The sequence below is a fragment of the Homo sapiens genome, chromosome 2, assembly GCF_000001405.40.
Source record: "Homo sapiens chromosome 2, GRCh38.p14 Primary Assembly".
NCBI classification, from domain to species: domain Eukaryota; kingdom Metazoa; phylum Chordata; class Mammalia; order Primates; family Hominidae; genus Homo; species Homo sapiens.
In genome coordinates, this window is record NC_000002.12 from 207,843,046 (window position 1) to 207,858,641 (window position 15,596).

The 15,596-nt window shown below is 41.1% G+C and overlaps 1 protein-coding gene across 5 annotated transcripts in view, besides 3 other annotated features; it reads right to left on the reverse strand.

Annotated features, from left to right (window-relative positions):
* Positions 1-15,596, reverse strand: part of PLEKHM3 (pleckstrin homology domain containing M3) — a 204,240-nt gene that overhangs the window by 21,758 nt on the left and 166,886 nt on the right. The gene's annotated exons all lie outside the window — the stretch shown is intronic.
* Positions 2,310-2,454: an enhancer, noted in NCBI's record as "145 bp enhancer 152 fragment used in the MPRA reporter construct; PK_construct_105". NCBI's record gives its function as "activates an SV40 promoter by MPRA in HepG2 cells {active_cell/tissue: HepG2}" and the evidence as "EXISTENCE:reporter gene assay evidence [ECO:0000049][PMID:23512712]".
* Positions 2,375-2,388: a transcriptional cis regulatory region, noted in NCBI's record as "HNF1 motif; enhancer activity is reduced when this motif is scrambled". NCBI's record gives its function as "necessary for full MPRA enhancer 152 activity {active_cell/tissue: HepG2}" and the evidence as "EXISTENCE:site-directed mutagenesis evidence [ECO:0005528][PMID:23512712]".
* Positions 6,128-6,627: an enhancer, noted in NCBI's record as "H3K4me1 hESC enhancer chr2:208713897-208714396 (GRCh37/hg19 assembly coordinates)". NCBI's record gives its function as "activates a minimal SCP1, AML or CMV promoter by ChIP-STARR-seq in naive H9 embryonic stem cells {active_cell/tissue: H9 hESC(naive)}" and the evidence as "EXISTENCE:reporter gene assay evidence [ECO:0000049][PMID:30033119]".

A 15,596-nucleotide genomic window follows, 5' to 3' on the forward strand; every position in this document is an offset into this window, starting at 1 on the left:
AAGCGATCTTCCCTCCCACCACAGCTACCAGTGTAGCTAAAGCTACGGGTGCACACCACCATAGCTGGCTCATTTTGTATTTTTTGGAGAGATGGGGTCTCGCCATGTTGCCCAGGCTGGTCTCAAACTCCTAGGCTCAAGTGATCTGCCTGTCTCAGCCTCCCAAAGTGTTGGCCTCCTTTGGCCTCCCAAAGTGTTGAGCCACCGCACCAGGGGCTTTTCCTTTTCATTGTCTTTGGGTAGCAGCCTGCCTGAGCCACCTCCCCAGACCCCTCTCTGAGAAAAAGTGAGGTAACAAACTAATGGGAGGGTTAGCCTGGGAGAAGGAGACTTGAGTACTGCTTGTAGGTACTTTGGAAGTATTAAAGTCCCCCTAACTAGATCTCTCACTTTTAAACAGTATATCTTAAATGTGCTTTCAGGGAAGCCAGAGGAAGGGAAAAGTCATTTTGCTTGCTGCTTTGACATTCACATCATTTCTGTCCCTAAGCCCCTGAGCTGGTGCTTATTTCAAGCACTGCAGGAAAACCACGCTCCACCGAAGAGGTTGTTACCTCAGGCCTCTGAGCTCATTCCACGCTGCCTCCCTCTCTGACTCCTGTGTCTTCTGCTACCAAGGGAAATTTGCTTGTCTCTTTGCAATCTAGAATTTGAAGATTTTCTTTCCAATCATTGATATAAATTGCTTTTCCCCCAGTCTTTTCATTTAAATTTCCTTTCCACCATCACAGATTCGCTTTCTGGAAAAAAACGTGGAATTTGGGGCGGGAGTGGTGGCTCATGCCTGTAATCCCAGCAATTTGGGAGGCCAGGGCAGGAGGATTGCTTGAGCCCAGGAGCTGGAGACCAGTCTGAGCAACATATTGAGATCTTGTCTCCACAGATAAATTAACCAAGCATGGTGGCGTGCATCTGTAGTCCCAGTTACCTGGGAGGCTGAGGCTGGAGGGTCACCTAAGCCTGGGAGGTGGAGGCTGCAGTGAGCCCTGATAGTGCCACTGCACTCAAGCATGGGCAGCAGAGTAAAACCCTGTCTCGAAAAAAAAAAAGTAGGACTTAACTCCATTCTCAAAGAACGGTCTTAAGATACTTCAACCTCCCAACTCTCAGAGCCACACTAGATCTTTCAGTCTAAGTTAAATCAGTTCAAGTTAGTGGCTTCCAATATTTCCAAGGCAGTCTTTGAATCAGGTTCATTATTTGTGTACTCTATTATGCTATTGGTTTTATAAAATAACAATTCATACATTTATTTTTCTTTTTTTTTTTTTTTTTGAGACGGAGTCTCGCTCTGTTGCCCAGGCTGGAGTGCAGTGGCGCGATCTCGGCTCACTGCAAGCTCCGCCTCCCGGGCTCACGCCATTCTCCTGCCTCAGCCTCCGGAGTAGCTGGGACTACAGGCGCCCACCACCACGCCCGGAGAATTTTTTTTTTTTTTTTTTAGTGGAGACGGGGTTTCACCGTGTTAGCCAGGATGGTCTCGATCTCCTGACCTCGTGATCCACCCGCCTAGGCCTCCCAAAGTGCTGGGATTACAGGCGTGAGCCACTGCGCCCGGCCTATTTTTCATATGAATTACTTTTTAATGCTACCTTCCCTTGTTTTCTCATCAAAAGGCTACAAAATTCTTCCCATTAAATGTGGTGGTGATGATCCCAACTACACATCAACCACCACAAGTGAGACTAGTTAAAGGTAGGTGGCAGAGTCCTTTGCCCCCCAGGTTGGTTTGTGGGTTCCCCAGATTTCAGGGCTACTGCTGTGACAACAGGGTAGGGCAGAAAGGGTACTGCTCTGGGATTCAGCAGCCTGGATCTTCCAGTAGCTCCAGGTGTGGTTTGGAGGGGGATTCCGGCCTTCAAGGAGGTGGGAGACATGGGCAGACTATTGCTAAGCTCCCCCTAGCTCTACAAAGGTTCGATGCTCTAGTATAATTTTGTACAGAGGGTTAACATGGGCTGCACCTTTCTCTCTATTTTAAGTGCTCTGAAAGCATCAGGAGCTGAAATGATAATTATTAATGGTAGCTGTAGATAGTTGTGAAGATGTTTCCTGAGGTAGCATTGTTAAGTGGTTTAAATATTCAGAATTCTGCAGGGGCTTAGTAAAAGTGTGATAATATACATTAGATACTTAAAAAAGATTTTTTAAAAGACAAATTTAATGAGGTATTACTATCTGTACTCCTATAATTAGTTGTATGAAAGAAGTCTTAAAAATAACAAACATGTATTGACAAAACCAAGATACTATTGTACCCTTTGTAATTCTAAAGCATAAAACAGTTCATTTCAGAACATACTGCTCAGTCTGAAAAGTCAACACATTTTGTTTGGAAAGGTAAATACTCCTTCTCTTCCCTATTGTGTGTTCAGGTTACTTATTTACAGTCCCATGGGGAAGAAAAAGCACATGCTAAAAACCGACCTAAAAGATGTTTTGAAAATGAAATTACCTGAGTAGCTTAGCAAAGCTCACATTTTTTACATCATCTCTCTCCTGACATTAAAGTCTCCACTGACCCAGTAAAACACATCCATCTCCAACATATGATAAGGATGTAAGCCATCACTCAATAAAGTCACATATCTCGGTAATGCCTACTTAAATAATGAATTTCCTGAAATCACTTTAAAAGCCATTTAAAAGAAAATATGTTAATAACTACAGATTATAGTTGAAATTACAGAATAAAGCAAACTCTCTATTCATTCATGAATTATTTATGGAGCAGTTACTAAGTGTTGTCTTAGATGGAGCAGTGAGCAAAATATAAAAAGTCTATTCCCTCATGGAGCTTACATTATTTCAAAACGGTGGACTGAACTGCAATTTGGATTTGTATCTAAATCCCTTTGGGTAAACAGAATAAAAATCAGCCAACTTTACGGAAAACATCATGACAAACTATCAAACACAAATACAAAATGCTGAGCAATGGAGCAGAAGCAAAGATCTTACTCCTTTTGTCAATAAAAGCTTAAAACAGTGCCATATGCCTGGTATGAAGGTCCAGCAGAGTGGTGGCTTGTCAAAGGTCACACAAATTAGTAGCTAGGAACGACATCGAGACTTCTTTGTTCCTAGTCCAGTGATCTTTTTGTTTTTTGTTTTTGAGATGGGGTCTTGCTCTGTCGCCCAGGCTGGAGTGCAGTGGTGCAATCTCAGCTCACTGCAACTTCCGCCTCCTGGGTTTAAGCAGTTCTCTGCCTCAGCCTCTCAAGTAGCTGGGATTACAGGCGCCCGCCACCACACCCGGCTAATTTTTGTATTTTTAGTAGAGATGGGGTTTCACCATATTGGCCAGGCTGGTCTTGAACTCCTGACCTCATGATCCACCAGGCTTGGCCTCCCAAAGTGCTGGGATTACAGGCGTGAACCACTGCGCCTGGCCCAGTGATCTTTTTATGGACTGGCCTGCCTGTGTTTATTCGATGGATCTTAATGATTTTAGAGCCAATTAAAATTTTTTTCCTCCAGCCTGGGCAACATGGTGAAACCCCATCTCTACAAAAAAAAATACAAAAATTATCTGGGCGTGGTGGAGAGCACCTGTAGTCCCAGCTACTCGGCAGGCTGAGGTGAGAGGATCGTTTGAGCCTGGGAGGCAGAGGTTGCAGAAAGCCAAGATGGTGCCACTGCACTCCAGCCTGGATGACAGAGCCAGATCCTGTCTCAAAAAAAAAAAAATTTTTTTTTTCTTTAAAAGTACCCATTAATATAAGTTTATAGATTAAATGTGACTATTTTTCTGGTTCTGATACAATGTGATAAAAAATGCTGGATATAAAATTATATATTCAATATGATTCTAACTATTTAAAAATACATATGTGTAGAAAAATGGAGAAATAATGGAGAATATTTTCTTTAATTTTCTGTACTTTTCAAATTTTCTATAATAAATATCAATTAGTTTTATAGTTAGAAAGTTAAAATGAGTTAAACGATGAACAATTCCTCTTTAAACAGCAAAAAATTAAGCTGTCTGAAATGCTTAAAGCTAAGATGATCAATACAATATTAACCAGATACCTAACTAGAAGCTTGGTAAGAAATGTGTCTAGGTGACAGCCATCTATTCAAGTGACCAAATGGCCTCAAAACACAATGGTGGCTTCAGCAGCTAGGACTGTGTTTATAAATGCACCATATTTATCAAGTGGCTTAATGGCATAAAGGGTCAGGTCAGCCCTGAGGTTTTCACAGAAGTCTCAGTTATGTTAGCAGACATTCTGAAACATTTTGACATGTGAATACAGAAGCCACCAGGCCAAGGTGAAATGTTATTTACCAAGTTACTCTTTGACTAAAGTTTAAAATCCAGAAAAACTAGCATTGTGCTGAAGAGTTTTCATTAAAGAAAACTGTCATTGACACAATAAACACATTTAAGAGTGGGCAGTCAGAGCTGAAGAAGGGTCAAATTCCATCTGGGGAGTCATCACCCTGCCTCTGCCATGCACACGACATGTGAGCTGTCTGGGCTTCAAGTTTCCCACCCCCAAAATGTCTAAAGGGTCCCCACAGTCCCTTCTATCTCTATTAGTTTATAATTCTAAAACACAAGCGAGAGTCTGGTCCTCCACCATTGGTATTAGAGAACCACTGAGAAAGTTCCTCAAAATGTTCCTCTTCAACACCAGAGAAAGAAAAGAACGATTAGAAACAAACAGCTCCTCTGAAAAGGTACTCTACAGAGGAGCAGAAGTTTCCTTTAGCTGCTTCTAGGATCCCACACCTCACTGCAATACTCACTGAGTGGCTGCTTCCCAAGAAAAGCCACAGAAAGGAAATATCATTAAAAAATGGCATATACATTGGGGGAAGCTACTCCCTCCCTGAAGACCGGCCTAGCCAAGGCTGTTGTTCTCTATTGTTGAACAGGATGTAACAAGACTGCCAAGCGCAGCCCACAAACCTGCTAATTAGGTGCCCTGACAGTGTTTGTTTTGGAACCATTTACCAACAAAGGAATGTGTCAGGCTGATTAGGGAGAAAAGGGTATGTAATGTATGTGTATTTGAGTCCAGATGAGGGCATAATCCAGGTATTTAGTCTGTTTGTGCAAGGACTCACAAAAACAAAGGCCGAGCAAATAGGAAGCCACGGGGAAAGCCCAGCTTCTGGGCAGTGCTTCTCTCCCCTTCTCCTCTGGAGTTTTGTTCCACCTGCCTCCATCCCCACCCCTTCCCCACCAAAAAATTTTGCCTAAACACTTAACATGAAAGTCTCTTTCAAAAAGTGACAAACTACAGCTGGTTCCTCAGAAAAATGAAAGAGTCTTTGTAAGGTTACTGACACATCTGGGGCTTGATGGTTTTTTTGGCAGGTAAGTAAGTGACAACTTTAGGCAAAATCATCTCCACATTCAGCCTCCATGGAGCCTTCTCCATGCACTGTGCCCAGGGGCAAATCTAAGGGCAACAGGGCAACAGAAAACACAGCTCTTGATGGACTGATTGTTCAAGCTGTGCTGAGAACAATTAGGCATCTCAGCACCATCTATGGGAAGAAGTAGTTCCACATTTTATAATAAAGCAGGTTCCTTCTTTTTAAACAAGCCTTTATATGGTTTGAGTACAATTAGGCATTTGAAGCTTCATGTGTACATGAGGCTTAAAGAAGGGAAGAAAGTGCCAAGGCAAAGAACAAAGTCCATGCCCCAACAAGTTTAGGTCCTCAGGAGCAGGGTGGTATGGATTGCAGTGAAACGCAAAATGACAAAGACCAATTCAAAACGTTGAGCGTGTTGGGAGGAGTCTCCATGTTCTTCAGGACAAGCTGGACATTTCTGAAGTCCGGCCAGATGGATGAAAGCAATGGGGCTTGGACTAAGTTTCATGGGAGGCTGCCTTTTTTGGTAAGATTACCTGACAAAATAGATTTTAAAAATGAAAAAGCGGATAAACCCTGTTAGAAGCTCATCTGCTATGCACTTTTCCATGAGGCTGATGTTTGTTCTCAAGACTGATGTAGAAAATATTCTTTAAATGTGTGCAGACTGGCTGGGCGTGGTGGCTCATGCCTGTAATCTTGGCACTTTTGGAGGCCGAGGCGGGCGGATCACTGGAGGCCAGGAGTTCGAGACCAGCCTGGCCAACATGGCGAAACCCCATCTGTACTAAAAATACAAAAACTAGCCGGGCATGGTGGTGCACACTTGTAATCCCAGCTACTCAGGGGGCTAAAGCTGGAGAATCGCTTGAACCCGGGAGGTGGAGGTTGCAGTGAGCCGAGATCCTGCCACTGCACTCCAGCCTGGGCCACAGAGCGAGACTGTCTCAAAAAAAAAAAGTGTACAGACTAGATGTAGTAGCAGAGTATGCTAACTCAAGTGGTAAGCAGGTAAGATTTTGGTGTTAATAAGTTCAATGCCCTGTGTGCCACCATTATTTCTTAGAAGAGGGGATGGAGTGGTCAACTACTTGTGCACAAAGAAAAACTGGCAAGCAATGTCCAGCCTACACCTCTGAATTCCAGTGCTTTAAAAAACAACCCTTTTTAGAAGAGTAACCACAGAGCTGCCGATGCCCTACTAACAAAGGAAGAACACCTCCTCTGATGCCTTCCCTGGTGTTAGTGAATGTTGCTGACCAGGGCAGGCTTATGCTGTCATCAGTGAAACACCTTAAATGGTATGTCAATTGCTTCAACCTTATATAGAAAGCTTTAGTGTTACCTCAGACTTGTGTTATGCTCCTCTATCTTTGGAGGTGTTTTATATTCCCTTAACTAATTAGTTTATTTAAAAAATGTTGTCAGTGTTCTTATGAATGCATATATACTTAGGCAAGCTTAAACCAAACAGTAAGTATTTATGTAACGCTTAGTCCATTTCGTGTTGGTAAAACAGAATACCTGAGACAGGGAAACATTTTTTTAAAAGTTTATTTGGCTCCTGATTCTGGAGGCTGGGAGGTCTAGGAAACATGGCACTGGCATCTGCTCAGCTTTTGGTGATGCCTCGAGCTGCGTCACAAATGGCAGGGAAGTGGAAGGGGAAGCAAGCATGTGGAAAAGGACCAAACACAGGAGGCAACTCGCTTTCTAGCAACCCCCTATCACCAAACTAACCCAATCCCTCCAGAACTCATCCATTCCTGTCAGAAGGAGATTAATCCATTTTAACGACCTCATCACCTCTTAAAGGCACCACCTCCCTACACCTCTACGCTGGGGACCAAGCTTCAGCAAGATTTTCTGGGGACACACCATATTCAAACCATAGCAAATGCCTACCAGATGGAGGATACCAACACCAGTTTTCAGTAGAATCTTCTCATAGAATACTCACATTTAAATACAGTGCCAAGTGGCATAAAGGTCACAAAGTCTTTAAGTACAATGTTCTTCATAGTGAAAAACCTAGGAGGATGACTTACATGTCACATGAAAAACTCACGAAAGCCAAATGGACAGGACAGAAATGATGGAACTGATTTATCACAGTTGGTTTATTTTCTAAGTCCCATGTTAAAAATGCATGCTGAGGGTTTTTAAGATGAAGTGTTTATGTACTTGTAATCTCGAAGCATTTCAAGGTTCAGAAATAGCATCTCTGCAGAAATGTAGAAAGCAGGATTGTCTCCTTAGCAGCATTAGGAAAGGGATCTTAATAACGAGAGAAGATTAGGGATGTGTAAAAATGTCAGAAAGAAAGCTGCATAGGAGGCAATTTAAGGATTAAAAAAAAATCTAAGTCCTGGGTCATTTTGTGGATTTATGTGACTTTTTTGCTTTTATATTCATTGTTTTCCCTTAAATCATAGAGCAGTGTCAGCCTAATCTTCTGATTTGTAATTCTTAAAAGTTAGAGCCCTTCCTGGCCAGGCACAGTGGCTCACGCCTGTAATCCCAGCACTTTGGGAGGCCAAGGCGGGTGGACCACGAGGTCACAAGATTGAGACCAGCCTGACCAACACGATGAAACCCCATCTCTACTAAAAATACAAAAATTAGCTGGGCGTCGTGGCACGCACCTGTAATCCCAGCTACTAGGGAGGCTGAGGCAGGATAATTGTTTGAACCTGGGAAGCGGAGGTTGCAGTGAGCCGACATCGCGCCACTGCACTCCAGCCTGGTGACGGAGAGAGAGACTCCGTCTCAAAAAAAAAAAAAAAAAAAAAGGTTAGAGCCCTTCCTTCTTATTCTCAATCAAGGAGGGCATGTTTCGTCATTTCTGTTTTTTTAGGATGTGGAATTTTATCATTGTTTTGTCAAAATGTTTATCTCTCCCAAGGCTGTGCTTTCCTTGTAGTCCTCTAGGAGGATAAATCCTGGATTAGGCTTTAGCAAAGCAGTTTTATAATTCAGGATATTCTTATTGTATTTAAAAATCTTGCAATCTGGGCTTTACGGTTTTTCTATTTAGGTTAAAGAGAGGTATGTATTTAATTTGTGTTTGAGGCTGGGTGCAGTGGCTCACGCCTGTAATCCCAGCACTCTGGGAGGCCGAGGCGGGGGAGGATCACCTGAGGTTAGGAGTTTGACACCAGCCTGGCCAACATGATGAAACCCAGTCTCTACTAAAAACACAAAAAAACTAGTGGGGCATGGTGGTGGGTGCCTGTAATCCCAGATACACCGGAGGCTGAGACAGGAGAATCGCTTGAACCCAGGAGGCAGAGGTTGCAGTGAGCTGAGGTCGCGCCATTGCACCCCAGCCTGGCCAACAAGAGTGAAACTCCATCTCAAAAAAAAAAAAAAAAAAAAAAAAGGTGTTTGAGAAGAAAGAATATCTCAGGGTAAAACTGTCAGCATTATCTTCTGAATGGAGGGGAGGTTGCTTTGGTGCAACAAACAGGGGTTTGCCTATGGAAGTCTAATTTAGGCACATCCTCAGCTTCACAGGTACCCCTTGCTGAACCTGACCCGCCAAGGGATGCACAGGAGGTGGAAGCTCTGTTGTTGTCTCCACAACAGTACTTTGGCCATTTTACAGAAGAAAGGCATATCTTTCCCCCAAACCAATCTAGTCATGGCTTATTGCTCCGAGTGTAAAGACTCCCAAGGCAGCAAATAAAATGACATTTCAAAATAGCAGTTTTGGAGAAGACTTAATGACAGAGGTACACAATTTTTTCAAATTGATTTTAGGGGGTATATGGCAAAATGTTTTGAAGACTACAGGTGCAGAAGTAGCAGTAAGATATAATGGAAAAAACATGGATTTTGGAGTCAGATGTATTTGGATTCAGGTTTTGGCCTTATCTCTAGGGCCACGTTAATTGCCTTCTCTGAACCTAGGTTTCTTCATTATTAAAATGGAAGTTACACTATTTCCTCAGAGGACTGGCAGAAAAATTAGATAAGATATGTAAGTTGCTGGCACTAGTACTAATAAATGTTAGTGCCATTCCCTTTCAATCCCAGCACCTTCTCTATATCTGTCAGAGGTGGGATCCTAAAAATTAATACTAGGGGTATATTTTCAAATTACATAGTCATGAAACTTCCTCCTGCATAATGATTAATTTAATGAGGAAAAGAAAGCCTGAAGGAGTTGATGAATGTTTGCTATATAGTCATAATCAAATGAAAACGTTAAAACTGAGTATATTCTAGTACTGAAGAACATAAATCAGTGACTCAAGTTCAACACAGAGTTCCCTCATACAGAGGGAACAACAGACACTGGGTACTCAAAAGAGGGGAGGGAGGCAGGGAAAGGCTGAAAAACTTCCTTTGGGTACCCTGTTCACTATATAGGTGATGGGATCAATGAAAACCCAAACCTCAGCATCAGGCCACATATCCTTGTAATAAATCTGCATATGGGTCTCCGAATCTAAAATTTAAAAAGAAAAAAAGAAAAAAAAAACCCCAAACCTAAAAAACACAGAGCTCCCTAATACTTTTAGAAACTGTGGAACTTCTTTCTCACTCAACATGCACATCACTTCTGTGGATGATGGAGCCCTTCTGGGAGCTCCAGGTCCACCCCGCTACTGTGCTCCTCCCACGCTTTCATAGAACTGCCTACTGGCCTGTCTGTCCCTAATAAACTCAACTATTTGTGAGCAAGTAGCATGCTGTGTTCACTGTTGTCTCCAGAACCTAGCCCAATGCACACACATGGTATGCTCAATAGATTATTTATTAGGGTCAGGATCATGTTTGTAATCCTAGCACTTTGGGAGGCCAAGGCGGGTGGATCACCAGGAGTTCAAGACCAGCCTGACCAACATGGTGAAACCCCGTCTCTACTAAAAATACAAAATTAGCCGAGTGTCTTGGCACATGCTTGTAATCCCAGCTACTTGGGAGGCTGAGGCAGGAGAATCGCTTGAACCTGGGAGGCAGAGGTTGCAGTGAGCTGAGATCACGCCATTGCACTCCAGCCTGGGCAACAAGAGTGAAACTTCGTCTCAAAAAAAAAAAAAAATCATTTATTAAAAGTACAGGGCCCGGTGTGGTGGCTCACACCTATAATCCCAGCACTTTGGGAGGCTGAGGTGGGTGGATCACCAAAGGTTAGGAGTTCCAGACCAGCCTGGCCAACATGGTGAAACTCTGTCTCTACTAAAAATACAAAAATTAGCCAGGTGTGGTGGCGGGTGCCTGTAATCCCAGCTACTCAGGAGGCTGAGGCAGGAGAATCACTTGAACCCAGGAGGTGGAGGTTGCAGTGAGCCGAGATCATGCCACTGCACTCCAGCCTTGGCGACCTAGCAAGTCGCCAAACAAACAAACAAACAAGTACAAATTGTTCTCATGCTTGCTATTATTATTATTTTTTTTTTGACAAAGTCTTACTCTGTTGCCCAGGCTGGAGTGCAGTGGCACGATCTTGGTTCACTGCAGCCTCCGCCTGCTGAGTTTGAGCGATTCTCATGGCTCAGCCTTCTGAGTAGCTGGGATTACAGGTGTGTGCCACCATGCCCAGCTAATTTTTGTATTTTTATTAGAGACGGGGTTTCACCATGTTGGCCAGGTTGGTCTCAAACTCCTGACCTCAAGTGATCCAAGTGATCCTGCCTAGGCCTCCCGAAGTGCTGGGATTACAGGCATGAGCCACCACGCCCAGCCCTGAATTTTTTTTTTAACTGAACTGTAATTATGCTATTCAAGTGATACTTGGACCTGAAAGGATATTAGGTATATTTCTGAGGACATAAAAATGCCAAATTTAGCAGAATGGTCAAGGGTATGTGGTAACAAATTCACTAAATACCTTATTTCTAAAATTTTTACATACAGGTTTTATTTCAAACATATGCAAAAGTAGAGAGAATATATAACAAATCCCTGTGTACCTATCACCTAGCTGCCACAATTATTAATACATGGAAATTTCTTTCATCTGTATCATCCCCCTACCCCATCATCAGATTATCCTGAAGCAAATCCCAGACATTGTATTACTTAATCCATAAAGATTTCAGTTACACTGAGATTTTAAACTTTACTTTACTATTCAAATTTATTTTTATTTATCACATTTATTTATTTAAAACATTTTTATAGACATGTTTTGAATCAGCAACTCTGTATTTCTGACTAAAATTTTCCTTTAATAAATTTTTTATTAGTGTTTCTCTTTGCCTTTTCACAGGGTTGTATAAACCACTCTTGGTGTTTAACTGGAAACTGAACACCAAGAGAAAGCTCAACAGGTTTCTGAAAAGTGTTAACCTGGAATTCCAGGAAAGCTGGTCAATATTCCTTCTGACTCAGACATTTGTACAAGCTTAGAGAACTGCATCTGATCAAGGAAGAAGGAGGATTCTCCACAGTTTTTACTACTGAGTAAAGACCCCTATGAACTCAGAGATATGCTAATGTGGTTATTTTGGTGAGAATCCAGCATCTTAACTATGACCACAGCTACCTTAGAGGAGTGATTCTTTTTTCTGGGGTGATTCATAATCATATGGAGTCCTTGAAGATACAGATTCTGGAGTTTTAAAAGCCAAGTCTCACAAAAGATTCTGATATACAGTCAGAGGGCAGCACTCTGCCCCAGTCAAGGCACAAGTCCAGGAACGGAGGGCTTTAAAAATGTATGCAAAACCCAGTGCCTAGATCTCAGTTTCTAATGTTATTCTTTAACAAAAGAAACCAAGGCTCCCTGGACACATGTCTGTTCCTAGGATTAGGGCAGGAAATAAGTAAGACGATCCTGGTGCATCTGGTAGTGCTGGAAAGTAAGGAAATGCTGAAAACCAAACCAAACCAAACCAAAAACAACTCCCCCCAGCAAAAATCCCATAATGGGTGGGGTATGTCAAGGGAACAAAGGAGCCTACTGAGAGCTTGAATGGCCAAAGCTGGGACAGTCTGAACAATAAAATATAGTACTGGGCTGTAACCCAAAGTACAAATGAACTATGCACAAGTCCATACTGATATAAATAAACAACTAAAAAAAATAAGTGAGGAAGAGACAGATCTCCCATGTGGAAGGATTCTAAATAACTGTATCCATACTTGGCTCCCAAGAGGGTGGAACATAGCTCCCCACTCCTTAAGTGTGGGCTACACATAGTGACTTCCTTCCAAAAGGAACAGCATGGAAAGAGGGGGAGGAAGAGGAATTTCATGGTGGAGCAACCTGACACAAACACTACAGTGATGTCATGTTGATCGTATGTTCCCTTGATATGATGTGATGAAAATGGCACTACCTCTATGGCCTTCCTCCCCAAACCCATAAAACCGACTCCACACATAAGAAAAACATCAGGCCTATCCAACAGAGATATTCTATAAAATACTGACCAGTACTTCTCAAAACTGTCAAGGTCATCAAAAACAAGGTCTGAGAAACTGTCACACCCAAGAGGAGCCTAGGGAGGTGTGACAACTAAATATAATATGGTATCCGGGAACAGAAGAAGGATATTAGGTGAAAACTAAGGAAATCTGAAAAAACTGTGGACTTTAGTTACTAATAATATATCAATATTGGTTCATTAATTGTAACAAATGTACTATACTAACGTAAAATATTAATAGGGGAAACTGAGTGTGTGGTATATGGGAACTCTGTACTATTTCTGTGATTTCTCTGTTAATCTAAAATTGTTCCAGTAAGGTTTATAAAAATTGTTCATCTTTGATCTTAGAGTCAACTGTTCAGTTGAACAATTTTTAAATTTTTATTAATAATAGACTATTTTTTAGAATAGTTTTAGATTAAGAGAAAAATTGGGCAGAGAGTTCCCATATTCCACCCCACCACCACCTGTTGTGTTTTCTTTATTAACAATATTTTGCAATCCTGTGATACATTTGTTACAAAATTAGTGAACCAATATCGATATATCATTATTAACTAAAGTCCTCCATTTGAGTTAAGGCTCACTCTGTGATGTATGAAACCATAGATTCTGACAAATGTATAATGTCATGTATACACCACTGAAGCATCATACAGAATAGTTTCACTGTCCTACAAATCTCCTGTGCTTCACCTAGGCATCCCTTCCCAGCCACCAAATCCCTGTAACTCATCTTTTTACTGTCTGTATAGTTTTGCCTTTTCCGAAATGTCATATAGTTGGAATCGTATAGTACGTAGCCTTCTCAGAATGGCTTTGCTCACTTGTGATACACGTTTAGGTTTCCTCCATGTCTCTTTGTGGCCTGACAGCTCACTTCTTTTGTGGCTGAATAATATTCCGTTGTATGGATATGCCACAGTTTATGCCTTCAGGTACTGAAGGACATCTTGGCTGCTTCCAGTTTTTAGTGATTATGAATAAAGCTGCCATAAACATCCATATGCGTGCTTTTGTGTGGATATGTTATCAACTTGTGTTATTTCAAGGTATTTTGTTTAATGTCCAAATATTTTGGGATTTTCCAGGTATCTTTGTTATTGATTTCTAGTTTAATTTCATTATGGTTTGAGAATCATACTTTGCATGATTTCTACTCTTTTAAATTTGTTCAGATTTTTTTTAATGGCCCAGAATGTGGTCTCTTTTGGTAACTGTTCCATGCGACCTTGAGAAGAATGTATATTTTGTTGTTGTTTAATGAAGTATTCTAGAGATGTCAATTAGATCCAGTTAATTGACAGTGCTGTTGAGTTTAACTATATGCTTAGGGATTTTCTGTCTGTTGGACCTGTCAGTTATGGACAGAGAAGTGTTGAAGGCTCTAACTATAACAGTAAACTTATCTCTCTCTTCTTTCAGTTCCATCAGTTTTTGTCTTACATATTTTGACTCTATTCATACATTAAGGATTGTTACATCTTTTTGGAGAACTGACCCACCCTTATCCTTGCAGATTCTTTCTCTACAATCTTCATTCTAAAAATGAATCTGGACACTCTTTGTTATCTGATACAGTGGAGTTTGGCAATTTTTTTTTTGCAACTCTAGTATCTCATTATGAATATCTCACTCTGGATATCTCATTCTGGAGATAAAGGTAGTGAGTGAAAGTTTGGTATTATTCCTTTCAATATTCCATAGCATTCACTGGTGAAGCCATCTGGCCTCTCTGTGGGAAGATTTCAAAATTACTAATTCAATTTCTTTACTTGTTTTAGGTCTATTCATATTTCTACTTCTCGTTGAGTCAGTTTTGGTAATTTGTCTTTCTAGTCATTTGTCCATTTCATCTAAATTTGTCTAATTTGTTGGTATAACATTGTTTATAATACTCTTTTATAATTCTTTTAATTTCTGTACCTCTTTTCATTCCTGATTTTGGCAATTTGTATCTTCTCTTTTAATTTCTTGATCAGGGTAGCTAAAAGGTTGTTAACTTTGTTGATCTCTCAAAGACTCAACTTGTGATTTTTCTGTTTACTATTTCATTGATATCGGCTCTAATCTTTATTCTTTCCTTCCTTCTGCTTGCTTTGGATTTAGTTTGCTCTTTTTTTTATCTAGTTTCTTAAGGTGAAATTTTAGGATATTGATTTGAGAGCTTTCTTCTTTTCTGATACAGGTATTTATAGTCATAAATTTCATTCTAACTGCTACTTTAGCTGTTTTTTTATATATTTTATATTTCATTTTCATTCATTTCAAAATATTTTAAAATTGCCCTTGTGCATCCTTCTTTGACCCATGAGTTGCTTAGAAATATATTGTCTAATTTCCAAATATTTTGGGGTTTCATATAGATATGTGTGTGTGTGTGTGTGTGTGTGTGTGTGTGTGTGTGTATATATTTTTTTTTTTGAGATGAAGTCTCACTCTGTTGCCCAGGCTGGAGTGCAGTGGTGTGATCTTGGCTCACTGCAATCTCTGCCTCCTGGGTTTAAGTGATTCTCCTGCTTCAGCCTTCCAAGTAGCTGGGATTACAGGTGCATGCCACCACACCTAACTAATCATATTTTTTTCTACTGTGAATCTTTAATTCCATGTGCCAGAGAACACGCTTGGTATAGTCTCAAAATTAATTGAGACTTGTTTTGTGGCCCAGCATATGATTTATTCAGTTAGAAGCATTTAGAAATTCTTTACTAAACATGATTTTTTTTTTTTTTGAGACAGTTTTGCTGTTGCCCAGCCTGGAGTGCAGTGAGTGGCATGATCTCTGCTCACTGCGACCTTGGCTTCCGGGTTCAAGCGATTCCTGTGCCTCAGCCTCCTGAGTAGCTGGGATTACAGGAATTTGCCACCACGTCC